At 47.9% G+C, this 17,871-nt stretch overlaps 1 protein-coding gene across 6 annotated transcripts in view; it reads left to right on the forward strand.

Moving 5' to 3' along the window:
• Positions 1-17,871, forward strand: part of BCO1 (beta-carotene oxygenase 1) — a 52,454-nt gene that overhangs the window by 1,577 nt on the left and 33,006 nt on the right. For all 6 annotated transcript variants that reach the window (NM_017429.3, XM_017023287.3, XM_017023286.3 and 3 more), the window contains exon 2: positions 5,210-5,338. In NM_017429.3, coding sequence (NP_059125.2) covers positions 5,210-5,338 — 129 coding nt within the window. The remainder of the gene's footprint in view (positions 1-5,209; positions 5,339-17,871) is intronic.

Genomic DNA, 17,871 nt, shown 5'->3' on the forward strand with positions numbered 1-17,871 from the left:
TTTCCTTTAACTTTTTAAAACATAGGTAGATCAATTGATAGATTACTATATTTGTAAACAGTTTTTCAAAAAGCAAATGTATACTATTACATTTTTATTTTTTTTCTCAATTTGACTGTTCATCTGTACATATTTTATTTTTTAAAAAGACACCCCACGGCCAGGTGCGGTGGCTCACGCCTGTGGTCCCAGCACTTTCGGAGGCCAAAGAGGGTGGATCACTTGAAGCCAGGAGTTTGAGACCAGCCTGGCTAACATGGCGAAATCCCTCTCTACTAAAAATACACAAATTAGCCAGGGGTGGTGGCATGCACCTGTAGTCCCAGCTACTCAGGAGGATGAGGTAGTAGAATTGCTTGAACCCCGGAGGCAGAGGTTGCAGTGAGCTGAGATCGTGCCACTGCACTCTGGCCTTGGCAAGAGTGAGACCCTGTCTCAAAAATAAATAAATAAAAAAAAACCAGGCACCCCAGCCTGGCCAACCTGGTATGGTGAAACACTGTCTTTATTATTTGGTTGGTGCAAAAATAATCGCGGTTTTTGCCATTACTTTCAATGCATTTAATTTTAATTTTTTTTTTTTTTTGAGAAGGAGTTTCACTCTTGTTGCCCAGGCTGGAGTGTAATGGCGCGATCTCGGCTCACCACAACCTCTGCCTCCTGGGTTCAAGCGATTCTTCTGCCTCAGCCTCCCAAATAGCTGGAATGACAGGCATGCACCACCACACCCGGCTAATTTTGTATTTTTAGCTGAAACAGGGTATCTCCATGTTGGTCAGGCTGGTCGCAAACTCCCAACCTCAGTTGATCCGCCCGTGTTGGCCTCCCAGAGTGCTGGGATTATAGGCGTGAACCACCATGCCCGGCCTGAAATTTTATTTTAAATAAAAATACAAAAATTAGCCAGGCATGGTGGTGCATATCTATAAGCCCAGCTCCTCAGGAGACTGGGCATGAGAATCACTTGAACCCAGGAGGCAGAGGTTGTAGTGAGCCAAGATCGCACCACTGTACTCCAGCCTGGGCAACAGAGTGAGACTCTGTCTCCAAAAGAAAACAAAAAGGCACCTATGATACCTACCTTTTCGTGCCCTGGAATATTTTGTACCCTTTACACCTCATGTTTAATGACTGCATGAAATCCTTGGAAATGTTAGAAAACATGAATTCTAGAACACGAGAGGCTGAGTGAGCCCCAAAGATCAGCAGCGGTTCTCAAAGGGGTGGCCCCGGACCTGCAGCATAAGCATCACCTGGGTGCTGGGTAGAAATAAACATCCTTGGGCCCTACCCAGACCCACGGGGTCAGACACTTGGGGGGTGGAGCTCAGCAAGCTGTGTGTTCACAAGCCCTCAGGCGATTCCAAAGGTAAGAACCATTCCTCTACATCAAGCCTCCCTATTGACAGATGGGAAACTGAGGCAGAGGGGCAGTGACTTGCCAAGGCCAGGCAGCCTGCAGAGAACAGGCCTCCTGACTCTCCGTCCAGGCCTGGGTTGAGCCTAATCAGTTGGTGACATCCATGGGCAAACAGCTAACTAAAAACTGTGCCTGGGTTGACACGTCCATGCAGGGAGCACATGCAAAGGTTTTGGCTTTGTAACTGGCTGTGCCGACACACGTGTGTTCTGAGACCTCTTTGGCAACTTAAGCATTTCCTGCCTCAGTGTTCTTTTCTGTTTGATGAATGTAGCCTGGCACCTCCCACATAGGGTTGCTGCAACGATTAAGTGGTTTAATCCACCTAGAACACAGTGGCTGGTGTATGAATGCATGTAAGTGTTCTTGTCCTATCTAGGGCTTTAATTATATTCTCAGATGCCTCTCTCCCTGCTCTTTCTCAAGCCTGCCCCCTCTCCTGTGCCCTGGGTGCCTGTGCCTGGCGCCACGATTATGTAGGTGCCCAAGGCAAGAGACTTGGCTGTCTTTTTTTTTTTTTTTTTTTTTTTTTGAGGCGGAGTTTCACTCTGTCGCCCAGGCAAGAGTGCAATGGCGCAATCTTCGGCTCACTGCAATCTCCTCCTCCTAGGTTCAATCGATTCTCCTGCCTCAGCCTCCCCAGTAGCTGGGATTACAGGCACCCACCACCACACCCAGCTAATTTTTGTATTTTCAGTAGTGACGGGGTTTCACCATATTGGCCAGGCTAGTCTCAAACTTCTGACCTCGAGTGATCCATCCGCCTTGGCCTCCCCTAGTGCTAGGATAACAGGCCTGAGCCACCGCGCTGGCCTCGGCTGTCATTTTTCAGTGCTCCACTGCACATCCCCCTGTATTTAGTCAAATAGAGGCCCATCAGTTCTGTGTGTTCCATCTATCTTTGTTCATCCATTTCTCTCCATCCCTGTGGAATCCCCGGGTCCTCTCTCTGGTCTTCCTGCCTCTCTCAGGGAATTTCCCAGTCCACAATCCACACCATGGGTGGAGACAACCTTCGAAGCTCCAAGTTCCTATTCCATTTATAACAGGGGTCCCCGACCCTCGAGCCGTGGACCAGTACCAGTCTGTAGCCTGTTAGGAACCGGGCCGCACAGCATTACGGCCCGAGTTCTGCCTCCTCTCAGATCGGTGGCATTAGATTCTCATATGAGTGCAAACCCTACTGTGAGCGTGAACCCTGTCGTGAACTGCACATAGGAGGGATCTAGGTTGTGCGCTCCTTATAAGAATCGACCCCTCAACCCCACCATCCATGGAAAAATTATCTTCCACAAAACCAGTCCCTGGTGCCAAAAAGTTTGGGGACCACTGATCTATATGGAATCCAGAACAGGCAAATCCATAGGAAAGAAGATGGGTGCCTGCCAGGGGCTGGGGTAAGGGGAGAAGGGGGAGTGACAGCTAATGCATAAGGGAGATGGCTTTTTGGAGTGATGAAATGTTCTGGAATTAGGTGATGGTTGCGCAACATTGTGAATACACTAGAACCCCCTGAACTGTACATTTTAAAATGATGAGTTTTATCTCAAATTTTTTTAAATTGCAGAAAATATCTGGTCCTGTCCTTCCCTATTATAACCATCAAAGGTGCCCCATTCTTCTGAGGATTAGATCAGGACCCTTAGTGTGATCCTGTTGACCTTTGTCCCCTGGCCCCCGTTATTTCTGCAGTTTCATTGCTTACAGTTTTCTTGCTTGAAAATGACGGTCCAGTCTTACTAAACAGCTTGCCCGTCTCCTGGTCTTGATCATTCATTCATTCATTCATTCATTCATTTATGAGACGGAGTCTTGCTCTGTCACCCAGGCTGGAGTGCAGTGGCGTGATCTCAGCTCACTGCAACCTCCCCCTTCCGGGTTTAAGCAATTCTCCTGTCTCAGCCTCCAGAGTGGTTGGGATTACAGGCACCCGTCATCACACCTGGCTAATTTTTGTATTTTTGGTGGAGGCGGGGTTTCACCATGTTGGCCAGGCTTGTCTCCAGCTCCTGACCTCAAGCGATCTGCCTGCCTCACCTCCCAAAGTGCTGGGATTCAGGTATGCCTCGGCATGCCCAGCCTCCTGGTTTTGGTCTTCTTGTTTTGGGTTCCTCCAGAGGCAAGAATTCAAGGCTAAGTGGTTTATTTGGCACGTGATCCCAAGAAACATCAGGAGGAACTCAGGGAAACAGAGAGAAGGAAACCAATAAATGGGGCATTGTCGAGCCATTGGCTGCTGAGGCCATTGGAGCTAAATCCTCTGGGTATGACGTAAAACATGCCTCTCGTGATCCCAACTGAGGGCAAGGCAACGGCGGGATTTGTCCCCCAATTCTGCATCCATCACTGGGTGAGAGCAGCTTCCAGGGGCATTACCTATCCGAGGTGCTTCCTGCTCTTCCTGCATGTAGGCAAAGCCTGCCCCACCCGCAGTCAGAACCAAGCACTCAGGCAGGGAGCTGCAGGCATTTGCAGAAAGCAGCCTGTAGGAAGGGACGAACGCTGAGAGGACTTGGGTGGAGGCACCAACAGCATTTTCTGCAGCACCCTGCCTCTAGAGCAGGGCTGTCCCCTAGAAAGAGAACCTATGCCACACGTGCACTTTTAAATTTTCTGGTAGAAACATTGAAAAAAGTCAAAAGAAGCAGGTGAAATTATTTCAGTGGTATATTTTAACACAACAAATCCAAGATATTATCAGTTCAACATGAAATCAATATTTAAAAAATTGCTAATGAGATGGTTCACTTTTGTTCATACTAAGTCTTTGAAATCTGGTGTATATTTCATTCTTATAGCACATGTCATTTCAGACCAACCACATTTCAAGTGCTGATAGCTACCATATTGGACAGTACAGCTCTAGAATGTTCTTTCCTTTTGCCTTTGTGAGGCGAATACCTACTCTCCCTCAAGACTTAGCCAGGTTGCCTCCTCTAGGAAGCTGACCACACCCTCCTGCTCTCAGCCCACCCGAGGGCTGTTCTGTTTCACAAAGAACCTTTTTCTACGTCTGTAGCGTTGCCCCTATCTTTTTTTTTTTTTTTTTTTAATTTTTTGAGACAAGGTCTTGCTCTGTTGCCCAGGCTGGAGTGGAGTGGTGTGATCACTGCAGCCTGGAGCTCCCAGGCTCAAGCGATCCTCCCACCTCAACCTCCCAAGCAGCTGGGACTACAGGCATATGCCACCACAATGAGCTATGTTTTTTTGGGGGGTTTTTTTGACACAGAGTTTCGCTCTTGTTGCCCAGACTTTAGTGCAGTGGTACAATCTCGGCTCGCTGCAACCTCTGCCTCCTGGGTTCAAGTGATTCTCCTGCCTCAGCCTCCCGAGTAGCTGGGATTACAGGCGCTCACTATGACGCCCAGCTAATGTTTTGTATTTTTAGTAGAGGTGGGATTTCATCATGTTGGCCAGGCTGGTCTTGAACTCCTGACCTCAGGTGATCCACCCACCTAGGCTTCCCAAAGTGCTGGGATTACAGGCGTGAGCCAACACACAACCAGCATTGCCTTGACCACAGTGGATCTTGGGTGTCTGTTTATTCATCTGTCTCTTAATGGTCAGTAGGCAGTTTGAGGACAGGGACAGTGTCTCCATCTTGGTATCCTCAGTGCTAGCCAACTGCCCAACACATTATACACTTTCTGGAAATGACTGTAGAATAAACGAACAGATGCAAGGAGTGGTACTGGGACCACAACTCTCAAATTCCTTTCCATGACCATTTCTTCCAGCATTTTGGTTTGCAGGTGGAAACGGGAAACTAAACATTCTCTCTTTTCTCAGGCAAGATTCCAGCATGGCTGCAGGGAACCCTGCTCCGCAATGGGCCTGGGATGCACACAGTTGGGGAGTCCAGATACAACCATTGGTTCGACGGCCTTGCCCTGCTCCACAGCTTCACCATCAGAGACGGTGAGAACACCCACGAGTGTGCTGCCACTGCTGCAGCAAAGGACCCCAAATGCAGTGCCTTAAAACAGCACAAATTTATTCTTTTAGGGATTGGAGGTCAGAAGTCTAAATCGGGTCTCACTGAACTGAAATCAAGGTGTTCATAGGGCCACATTCAGTTCTGGAGGCTCTAGGAAAAATATCCACGTTCTTCCGTTTTCTATCTTCTAGAAGCCGCTTTCCTTGACTTGTGGCTCCATCTCTGTCTTTTTTTTTTTTTTTTTTTTTTTTTTCTCTGAGACGGAGTTTTGCTCTTGTTGCCCAAGCTGGAGTGCAATGGTGCAATCTTGACTCACGGCAACCTGCATCTCCCAGGTTCCAGTGATTCTCCTGCCTCAGCCTCCTGAGTAGCTGGGATTACAGGCATGTGACACCATGCCCAGCTAATTTTTGTACTTTTGGTCTCAAACTCCTGACCTCAGATGATCCGCCCACCTCGTGCTCCCAAAGTGCTGGGATTACAGGCATGAGCCACTGCGCCCGGCCTCCATCTCTATCTTTAAAGCAGCAGCAGAGCATCTTGTCTTGCAATCTCTCTCTCTCTCCTTCCATCCTCACACCTCCTCCTCTGACTGACTTTCCTGCCTCCCTCTTATAAGGACCCTTGTGATTACATTGAATCCACTCAGATAATCCCTAGATAATCTCCCATCTCAAAATCCTTATTCACATCTACAAAGTCCATTTTGATATGTCAGGTCACACATTCAACAGGTTCTAGGGATTTGGATGTGGAGATATTTGTCAGGGGTGCATTATTCAGCCAACCGCAAGCACAGACTTTCCTAAAAAGGAGGCCAAGGTTCTTTTTCAAATAGTTAATCTTGCAAAATAATATACATCCTCAATCAGGTAGGCAAGAGCAGGTGGAAGAGTACAGGAATCAGACATGCCTAAAGTTGAAACAGGAAATGGACAGAGCTGGTAGCTGGGCGCAGTGGCTCATGCCTGTAATTCCATCACTTTGGGAGGCCAAGGCAGGCAGATCATTCAGGGTCGGGAGTTTGAGACCAACCTGGCCAACATAGCGAAACCCCATCTCCACCAAAAATACAAAAATTAGCTGGTCATAGTGGCACACACCTGTAATCCCAGCTACTAGGGAGGCTGAGGCACGAGAATTGCTTGAACCCAGGAAGCAGAGGTTGCAGTGAGCTGAAATTGTGCCACTGCACTCCAGCCTGGGAGACAGAGCCAGACTTTGTCTCAAAAAAAAAAAAAAAAAAGAAGAGTACAGAGCTGGAAAGAGCAAAGCTGCATATATTGCCCATTAAGCAAGACAGAGCCAGACCACTTACACAATAAGCCGAGGGATCTCCCTGAGTGGAAAGGGAAATGGATAAATATAGGGCATCACAAATAAGGCGAATTCTGAGTTCAGGTGTCTGGCTCATGAGGTGGGATGTAAATTCTTTGCTGTTGGCCATTGAGCCAGTTTATGCTACAAAATCAAGAGCCGAGTTCTTAAAGAGGTCCAGGATGGATTTAGCGGGCTTCGGGTCACACAGTGGACAGATTTGTGTCCAAATGCTCCAGGCTTTCCAAAATTTTTCTTTAATTCCTGTGTTCTAATGTGGTCAAACTGGGATTACGTTAAGTCTCTCAGCCTCAGTTTCCTCATCAGTAAAATGAGCTTGTTCATCCTCCCCTGGAGAGCTGTTGGGATCATTGGAAGTATTGGACGTTCTAGCAAGGGCCTGACACCTGGTAGATGCTTAAGAGATTAAAAATCACCATTGACCAGGCACAGTGGCTCATGCCTGTAATCCCAACACCTTGAGAGGCGGAGGCAGGAGTGTTGCTTGATCCCAGGAGTTCCAGACCAATCTGTGCAACATAGTGAGACCCCATTTCTATTTTATTTTATTTTATTTTTTATTTTTATTTTTATTTATGTTTTTGAGACAGAGTTTCGCTCTTGTTGCCCAGGCTGGTGTGCAATGGTGCAATCTCAGCTCACCACAGCCTCCACTTCCTGGGTTCAAGTAATTCTCCTGCCTCAGCCTCCCGAGTAGCTGGGATTACAGGGATGCGCCACCATACTCAGCTAATTTTGTATTTTTAGTACAGATGGGGTTTCTCCATGTTGGTCAGGCTGTTCTCGAACTTCCAACCTCAGGTGATCTGCCCACCTCGGCCTCCCAAAGTGCTGGGGTTACAGGCATGAGCCACCACGCCCGGCCCATCCCATTTCTATTTTAATTTATTTTAAAAAAATAATTAAACATAAAAATAAAACCACTATCTGTGGCTTTGAATCCCAGCTCCACCATCCTAGCTAACATGCACCTAAACTGTGTAACTTTGGCCAAGGTACTGACCCTGTCTGTCTCAGTCTCTTCTGTAAAATGGACATATCAATAGCGTATCTCATGGAGCTGCTATTAGATCTAAACGAATGTGTAAACAGCTCTGTATTATGTCTCGTGCACAACACCTGCTCAATAAGCATTTGTTCTTAATTTCATATAACTACTGGCCAGTCGCGATGGCTCACACCTGTATTCCCAGCACTTTGGGAGGCCGAGGCGGGTGGATCACCTGAGATCAGGAGTTCGAGACCAGCCTGGCCAACATGGTGAAACCCCGTCTCTACTAAAAATACAAAAAATTAGCTGAGCGTTGTGGTGAGCACCTGTAATCCCAGCTACTTGGGAGGCTGAGACAGGAGAATCGCTTGAACTCGGGAGGCAGCGGTTGCAGTGAGCTGAGATTGCACCATTGCACTCCAGCCTGGGCAACAAGAGCGAGGCTCCCTCTCACAAAAAAAAAAAAAAAAAAAAATTATATAACTATTAATTTCTTTTGAGCTAGTCAGCAATTATTTTTTGAATGTGTACTCTATGCCAGTGCCTTGCTCTAACATTTACACATGAATAGAGACACGATGGGTGAAAAGCGCGAGCTCTGAGTCTGCAATACCTTGCAGATTTTACTGTGACTCAGCTACAGAATGGGTGGTTCCATATTTTGCTGACAGCACTAAATCTTAATGATTCCTTTCTTTTCTAAACAGAAGTTCCCAATGATTCTTGGAAATAAATACTGTTCTGGATGAGGAACATAGAAGGTAAATGCACCAGTGGTGGCCGGGCGCGGTGGCTCACGCCTGTAATCCCAGCACTTTGGGGAGCCAAGGTGGGCAGATCACCTGAAGTCGGGAGTTCAAGACCAGCCTGGCCAACATGGGAAAATCCTATCTCTACTAAAAATACAAAAATTAGCCGGATGTGGTGGCAGGCAACTGTAATCCCAGCTACTTGGGAGGCTGAGATAGGATAATTGCTTGAACTCAAGAGGCAGAGGCTGTGGTGAGTTGAGATCATGCCACTGCACTCCAGCCTGGGTGACACAGTGAGACTCCGTCTCAAGAAAAAAAGCACCAGTGGTTTTCCTTCCATGAGGCCTTGCTTCCCCAGGCTGCCAGCTCCTCCATGGTCTCTTTCTTTCTTTTTTTTTTTTTTTTGAGATGGAGTCTCACTCCGTTACCCAGGTTGGAGTGTGGTGGCGCAATCTCGGCTCACTGCAACCTTCGCCTTCCAGGTTCAAGTGATTCTCATGTCTCAGCCTCCGGCGTAGCTAGGATTACAGGCACATGCCACCACATCTGGCTAGTTTTTTTTTCTTTTTTTGAGACAGAGTCTGGCTCTGTCACCCAGGCTGGAGTGCAGTGGCACGATCTCGGCTCATTGCAAACTCCACCTCCCGGGTTCACGCCATTCTCCTGTGTCAGCCTCCCGAGTAGCTGGGACTACAGGCTCCCACCACCACGCCTGGCTAATTTTTTGTATTTTTAGTAGAGACGGGGTTTCACCGTGTTAGCCAGGATGGTCTTGATCTCCTGACCTCGTGATCTGACCGCCTCGGCCTCCCAAAATGCTGGGATTACAGGTGTGAGCCACTGTGCCCGGCCCCGGCTAGGTTTTTTTGTATTTTTAGTAGAGATGGGGGTTTCATCATGTTGGCCAGGCCGGTCTCGAACTCCTGACCTCAGGTGATTCACCAGCATGGGCCTCCCAAAGTGCTGGGATTACAGGCGTGAGCCACCGCGCCCGGCCGAGTCAGTTTTATTCACAATCTGGCATTGGCTGGGAAAATAGGAAACCCAGGAATTACACCCAATGATTTGTTTTCCCTCCATCTTTCTCTTAGACCTAGGCCAGCGTCTGAGGGTTCATGCCCCATTCTGCTTGGCAGGCATCATTTTGCCAATCTGTGGCATAGGGTGGGAAGGCCCAGAGTGCGGGGAGCCTGCCTGAATTGTGGTGTCTTCATCATCTAGCATGGGGCCTGGCCCAGAGGGGCGCTTGGAAACTGTATATGGAGCTGAGATGGTACAGTGAGGCAGTCATTGTTTTGGTAGACAGAGGCAATACTTTCCCAGTCAAACTCTTCAATATTTACTACAAAGAGGGTTTGCTGGGCCCTGCCCCAAGTGTTTCATGTCCATCCACAACTCAGCCCTCCCCGTCACTCCTGAGGAGGATAGCCTGGGGACTACCACAGTTTTAGAGATAAGGAATGAAGTCCCAGAGAGGCCAAGTCACTTACCCAGAAGCACACAGCTAAGAGTTGGTAAAGCTCAGACATAGACGCAATACTCTCTAACTTCAGAATCCCAAGTCCTAACCATTGTGCAATTCAGCCCTGTTTCCCCTTCCCACCAGCTCCTGCCTCCCCATCTCTCCATCCCAATCCTCTCAGTGCTGCCAGCTTGCCAATGCTGGTGTGGCATAGCCTGGCTTCATCTCTCCTCTCCTCTAGGACTCTCCGTGGCACCCCATTGTCTAATGGTGGGAAGATACACCAGAAATGTTCAGTTCCACTCTAGCGGGTTCAGAAGAGAACACGTGGGGAAGTTGGGGTCCCTGATAAGCTGAAAACAAAGCCAATAACTCTCAAAAAGTGGTTTGTGTGCCTCCTTTCTCAATAAAGCTTTTTTTTTTTTTTTTTTTTGAGATGGAGTCTCACTGTGTTGCCCAGGCTGGAGTACAGTGGCACGATCTCAGCTCACTGCAGGCTCTGCCTCCCAGGTTCAAGCGATTCTCGTGCCTCGGCCTCTGGAGTAGCTAGGATTACAGGCATGAGCCACCATGCCCAGCTAATTTTTGTATTTTTAGTAGAGATAGGGTCTCGCCATGTTGGCCAGGTTGGTCTCGACCTCCTGACCTCAGGTGATCCACTTGCCTGGGCCTTCCAAAGTGCTGGGATGACAAGTGTGAGCCACCGCGTCTGGCCATTCAGTAAAGCTTTGAATCCTGAAAGCTGCACAGGGCTTGAGTGCATCATAGTCCTCAAAGATAGCGTTTGTGTTTCTAACACACTTCCCAGGTGACCCCGAGCCCTCTGAGGTTTGACAATCCCTCCACAATGGGCCTCTAGCCTGGCTGCCCAGGCCTAACCAAAACCATGTTATTAATACTAATAATCAGAAGAACCATGGGCTAGTGAATAGCCTTCTGTACCTTTTTAAAGCACCCAGGTGATTCCAGTGTAGATGCAGGTTAGGTGCTTAAGACCAAACATCTAACTTAGAGAAAAGACTTTGGAGCAAGAAACAAAAAGGCAGAAAATAGCTTGTGGCCTTCAGCAGAGGCCAGTAGAAATTAATGCTCTAAAAAAAAAACAAAGAGGGACCAGAGGTTGTGGTTCATGCCTATAATCCCAGCACTTTTAGAGGCTGAGGTGGGAGGATCCCTTGAGCCCAGGAGTTCAAGACAAGCCTGGGTAACATAGTGAGACCTGGTACCTACCAGAAAATCAAAAAGTTATCCAGGCGTGGTGGTATGCACCTATAGTCCCAGCATCTTAGGAGACTGAGGCAGGAGGATCACTTGAGCCTTGGAGGCAGAGGCTGCAGTGAGCCGAGATCACACCTCTGCACTCCATCCTGGGTGACAGAGTGAGACTTCATCTAAAAAAAATTAAAAAAGAAAAACATGTAAAAAATAACAAAGATATGAACAAAAAAAGCAGAGTACAGAGGGAGAAGCTGGGTGAAGGGTACAAGAACACTCCTTTCTGTACATCTAAAATTATTTCAAAGCAAAAAGTTTTTACAAAGCACGCATAGAAATGAGTGATTCCAAGTCTCCCTCATTAATGATATCTGTTAATTTTCCGATAAAATTAACAGGCAAAGTCATTGTCCCACCAGGATTTGAACATTGGAAAGTTTCTTTTATATATACCCACACACACACACACACGCACACACACACACACACATATATGTGTGTGTGTGTGTGTATATATATCTATATCTTCCCTTCTTCCCCAAAATATCAAACTTGACCTAGTTCTAGAAGATCCCAGGCAGGAGCACGTCTGTTGGCGTATGTCCCTTCAGAAGGAATGTGGCTAATTGGGCTCTCCTGAAAGCAGACTGCTGGGGAATGCATGGAGGCTCCTTCTGTAATCTCAACCTCAAAGTCCAGGGTCAGCCTTGAGTAATTCCAGACACCTACTTTCCTGTGGTCACCAGGCACTCCATGCTCTGGGGCTGGATGTTTATAGGAAATGGGCAGCCTGTTCACTACCCAGCCTGGGTGTTTATATTTCTTTCTTTCTTTTTTTTTCTTTTCTTGTGTGTGTGGGTGTGTGTTTTTGTTTTGTTTTGTTTTGTTTTGTTTTTTGAGATGGAGACTTGCTCTGTCACCCAGGCTGGATTGCGGTGGCATGATCTCAGCTCACTGCAACCTCTACCTCCCAGGCTCAATTCTCCTGCCTCAGCCTCCCGAGTGGCTGGGATTACAGACACCCGGCACCATGCCCAGCTAATTTTTATATTTTCAGTAGAGACGGGGTTTCACCATGTTGGTCAGGCTGGTCTTGAACTCCTGACCTCAGGTGATCCACCTGCCTCGGCCTCCCAAAGTGCTGGGATTATAGGCGTGAGCCACAGCACCCAGCCAATATTTCAAGTGAACATAATTCAACATTTCAGGTCAAGCACCTTAGCCAATGCCTTGTGGGTGGTGACTCCCAGCAACAGTAACCAGTGAAAGACAGGCTGGCTCAAAGGGGAGATCAGGGTGGCCTTAAGTGGGCCTCTGTCTCCATGTAGCATGTAGCTGAGGACCAGTGAGTATGTGTGGCCTTGCTCACCCACAGATGAGTCCGCCTGCCACCCGGATTTTCTTGGACAATGCAGTTTCAACAGCCTTTGTTTACGAAGTGCATGCTGGGAGTCAATGCGCAGGACCCCTTACATTACCACATCTCATTTAAAACTGCCCACCTCACCACTTGAGGTCAGGAGTTCAAGACCATCCTGGCCAACATGGTGAAACCCCCTCTCTAGTAAAAATACAAATATTAGCCAGGCATGGTGGCAGGCACCTGTCATGCCACCTACTCAGGATGCTGAGGCAGGAGAACTGCTTGAACCCAGGAGGTGGAAGTTGCAGTGAGCCGAGATCGCACTACTGCACTCCAGCCTGGGTGACGGAGCAAGATGTTGTCTCAAATATAAAAAATAAAGATAATAAAACTGCCCACCTAGAAGGGGAGGACTATGTGATTCCCAGCTTCCAGTCAAGGAGACTGAGGCTCGATGAGATTAAGAGACCTGCCCAAGGTCACCCAACCTGGATGAGATGAAACCTAGAGCCGAAGCCTTGATCACTCTGTCTACTGCATCTCAATACTCTACGCAGCTTTTCTTGAGCACCTACTATGTGCACAGTGCTTTGCAAGCCTCAAATGTCACGTGACTCTGCAAGGACTGTGTCACGATCCTCATGTCATAGTGGAGGGGACAGATTCTTGACTGTTACCAAGGTCAAGTGCATGGTTGGTACATGATGAAGCCAGGATTCATATCCATGTGGAGATTGAGCCTCCTTAGCAACAGGAATCCTGGCCATTCTGCTCATTGTTATATTTTCACTCCTGGCCCATCAGGGCAGTTAATAAATAATGGTTGAAAGCATGAACTCAGGGCCTGGTCAGCCCCAAAGCTCAGGCTCCTAACCGTTCCTCCATATTTCTTTCTGCTGCCCAGGAATAAATCTCCCCCTACAGAAATATCTCAGTGAGGCTGGGCACCGTGCCTCACACTTGTAATCCCAGCACTTCAGGATGCCAAGGCGGGAGGATCGCTTGAGTCCAGGAGTTCAAGACCAGCCTAGGCAATATAGCAAGATCCCATCTCTACAAAAAATAAAAAATTAGCCAGGCATGGTAGCACGCACCTATAGTCCCAGTTACTTGGGAAACTGAGGTGGGAGGATCACTCGAGCCTGGGAGATTGAGGCTGCAGTGAGCTGTAATTGCGCCACTGCCCTTAGCCTGGTGACAGCAAGACCCTGTCTCACAAAGAAAGGAGAAAGAAATATCTCAGTGACACTTATTCACACAGTAACCACCCCTGAAAAGATGTTTGCATAAAGGCTAGATGATTGTCTCTTAGGAACACAAATAACCTCCTGAAGACTGGAGGAGGAACTAGCAGGTCTTTCATGATCTCCCTCAATTTTATTTTATTGTATATTTTTTTCTTTGAGATAGAGTCTCCCTCTGTCACCCAGGCAGGAGTTCAATGGCACAGTCTCAGCTCACTGCAACCTCTGCCTCCTGGGTTCAAGCAATTCTCCTGCCTCAGCCTCCTGAGTAGCTGGGACTATGGGTGCGTGCCACCACGCCCGGCTAATTTTTTTTTTTTTTTTTTTTTTTTTTTGTATTTTTAGTAGAGACAGGGTTTCACCATGTTGACCAGGCTGGTCTCGAACTCCTGACCTCAGACGATCCGCCCATCTTGGCCTCCCAAAGTGCTGGGATTACAGGCATAAGCCACCACACCAAGCATTTTTTTTTTTTTAATAGATAAGGGCTTCCTACATTGCCCAGGCTGATCTCGAACACCTAGCCTCACCTTTTTATGTGCCAGGACAACAAGCCTGAGCCACCACGCCTCCCCTCAATTTTCTTATAATTAGTGTTACTATTATTGTCATTATGTCCATCCAAGTGCACAGGTGGGAGTCATTGCCACTGGAATGTACATTCAAATCCTTTGGCAATGGACATGGAAACACAACCCCAAGGGCAAAACAAGTTGAAACTCTTCAAAGTCAAGATAGCGGTTACCCTGGAGGGGGAAGAGGTTAGTGACAAGGTGGATATATGAGGCTAGCGTTCAGGGGGCTGCTCTGGTCCTGTTTCTCTTTTTGAGGCAGGGTCTTGCTCTGTTGCCCAGGCTGAAGTGCAGTAGTGCGATCTTGGCTCACTGTAGCCTTGACCTCCCAGGCTCAAGTGATCCTCCCGCCTCAGCCTCCTGAACAGCTGGGACTACCATACCCATCTGATTTTTGTATTATTTGTAGAGATGGGGTCTCGCCATGCTGCCCAAGTAGTCTTGAACTCCTGGGCTCAAGCGATCCTCCCCTCTGGGCCTCTCAAACTGCTGGGATTACAGGCATGAGCCATTGCACCTGGCCCCAGGTCCTGTTTCTTGATCAGGATGTAGTTTGCGTGGGTAGCTCCCCTTTGTGAAACCTCAGCAGGCTGGATGTCATCAAGCTGCACATCTCTGTAGGAGTGATTTTAATTGGAAGGTGCAGACAGAACACTCAAACTGATTGTTCTTGCTGTGTTAGGATCTTGGTTAAGAGGGCCAGCTTTAGATGCCCATTGCTGGCCTTCGACTCCAGATTACCACTCGCTAGCTGTGTGGCTTAACACAAGCTGCTTAACCTCTCTGTGCCTCAATTTTATTAGCTGGGAAATAAGTCTGCAGGGCTGTGAGTACCCAAGCCCTTTGTACTTCATTTGGTAAAAAAGTTGGAACCTTTAAGCACTGTTTAGATCTTGCTTTATTTTGCTATTAATTAACAAATGACATTATGTTATTTTTTTTTATTTTTTATTTTTTTGAGATGGAGTCTCGCTCTGTTGCCCAGGCTGGAGTGCAGTGGCGTGATCTCAGCTCACTGCAACCTCTGCCTCCTGGGTTCGAGCGATTCTCCTGCCTCAGCCTCCCAAGTAGCTGGTAGCTGGGACTACAGGTGCCTCCCACCACACCCAGCTAATTTTTGTATTTTTAGTAGAGACAGGGTTTCACCGTATAGGCCAGGCTGGTCTCAAACTCCTGACCTTGTGATCCGCCTGCCTCAGCCTCCCAAAGTGCTGGGATTATAGGAGTGAGCCACCATGCCCAGCCTTTCTTTCTTTCTTTTTATTTATTTATTTATTTATCTTTGACATTGAGTCTCGCTCTGTTGCCCAGGCTGGACTTCAGTGGCACGATTTCGGCTCACTGCAAGCTCCGCCTCCCAGGTTCAAGCAATTGAACCTCCCGAGTAGCTGGGACCACAGGTGCCCAGTACCCCGGCTAATTTTTTTTGTATTTTTAGTAGAGATGGAGTTTCCCCATGTTGGCCAGGCTGGTCTTGAACTCCTGACCTCAAATGATCCACCTGCCTCTACCTCCCAAATTGCTAGGATTACAGGCATGAGGCACTGCGCATGGCCGATTTTTTTTTTTTTCCAGCGAATGCATTTCTGGTTGGAGTATTCTACTTGCTTCCAGTGTTGTGAGTATGAAACCAGATAACACACATCAAGTGCCCAGCACAGTGTTTAGCATGCTGGTGCTCAATCGATGCTGGCTGTTAGTACTAGTTTCCTTTTCCTAAGATATCAAAAGGCACTGGGCGAGAATTTCTTGGAAACATGTTTTCTCCTCTAAGCCCATCCTGTGGCAGTCAACATATGATGGGCGTTTCTGAGGTCAACTTTTTGCTTATTGGAATGCAATGTCACTGTGTCCCAGGCTTGGCTTTTCCGTGTGTTGTAATTGTAGCAACACTGGAAGCACATACTATACCACGAAAATGAAATGCGTTCTGTAAAAGGAAAAAATCTTAATGTCATTTGCGAATTAACAGCAAAATAAAATAAAACACTGCCTCTTTCAGGCCCCTCCCCGAGGTTTCAAACTGCCCAGGAAATAAAGTTCTCAGGGCTGGTGCGGTGGTTCATGCCTGTAATCCCAGCACTTTGGGAGGCCGAGGCAGGCAGTTCACCCGAGCTTAGGAGTTTGAGACCAGCCCGGCCAACAGAGTAAAACCTCGTCTCTACTAAAAATACAAAAATTAGTCGGACATGGTGGCACATGCCTGTAGTCCCAGCTATTTGGGAAGCTGAGGCAGGAGAATCGTTCGAACCTGAGACGTGGAGGTTACAGTGAGCCAAGATCGTACCACTGGACTCCAGCCTGGGCGACAGAGTGACTCCATCTCAAAAAAAGAAAAAAAAAAAGTTATCAGGCCTGCAAACCTAGTAGGACCCCTCAACCCATTTCCCAATTTCATTTCACTCCTGTCCTCCAAATCCCTCTCTAATGTTCCAGCCCAGCCGAACTCAACGCCTGCAAGAAGGGTTCTGCATTTTCCCAACTCCAGGCCTTTGCTTACAGACCTCTTAGCGGGTGAACAGGACAGCTCTGCCCTCTCTCCCCAGCATATTGCAGTCAAATTCTACTCATCCTTTAAGAGCTGTTTCATGCACCACCTCCTCCCTGAAGCTTCTCCTGACTTATTCCCAGCTGGGAAGGACCTCCTCTCACCCCTGCCCCAGGAGGAATCCATGGATGTGGGTTTTTTGTTGTTGTTGCGTTTTTTTGTTTATTTGTTTTTTGAGACGGGGTCTCGCTCTGTCGTCCAGGCTATAGGGCAGTGGCGCGATCTCGGCTCACTGCAGCCTCTGCCTCTTGGGTTCAGGCAATTCTGTCTCCTCAGCCTCCTGAGTAGCTGGGATTACAAGGGTGTGCCACCACACCCAGCTAATTTTTGCATTTTTAGTAGAGATGGGGTTTCACCATGTTGGCCAGGCTGGTCTCAAACTCCTGACCTCAGGTGATCCACCCACTTTGGCCTCCCAAAGTGCTGGGATTACAGGCGTGAGCCACCGCACCTGGCCTAGATGTGTTATTTTACATAGCAAAAGAAACTTCGCAGGCTAGGCAAACGCCTGTAATCCCAGCACTTTGGGAGGCCGAGGCAGGTGGGTCTCCTGTGGTCAGGAGTTCGAGACCAGTCTGACCAACATGGCAAAACCCTGTCTCTACTAAAAATATTTTAAAAATTAGCTGGGCATGGTGGCACATGCCTGTAATACCAGCTACTCGGGGAGGCTGAGGCAGGAGAATCTTTTGAACCAGAGAGGCTGAGCTTGCAGTGAGCCAAGATTCCACCATTGCACTCCAGCCTGGGTGACAGAGTGAGACTCCATCTCAAAAAAAAAAAAAAAAAGAGAGAGACTTTGTAGATGTGATTAGATGAAGGATCTTGAGATGGGGGAGGTGATCTGACATTAGGGATGGGCCCAGTGTAATCTCAAGAGAGAAGCAGGAGCGTCAGCCTCAGAGGAGATGTGATACCGGGACAGGAGACAGGGGTCACAGTGACGCAGCCATGACCAGGGAAGGCAGCAGCTTCTCAAAGCTAGAAAAATCAAGGAACAGACCTCCCCTGGAGCCTCCAAAAGGAACT

The sequence above is a fragment of the Homo sapiens genome, chromosome 16 (genome assembly GCF_000001405.40).
Source record: "Homo sapiens chromosome 16, GRCh38.p14 Primary Assembly".
Lineage (NCBI taxonomy): Eukaryota > Metazoa > Chordata > Mammalia > Primates > Hominidae > Homo > Homo sapiens.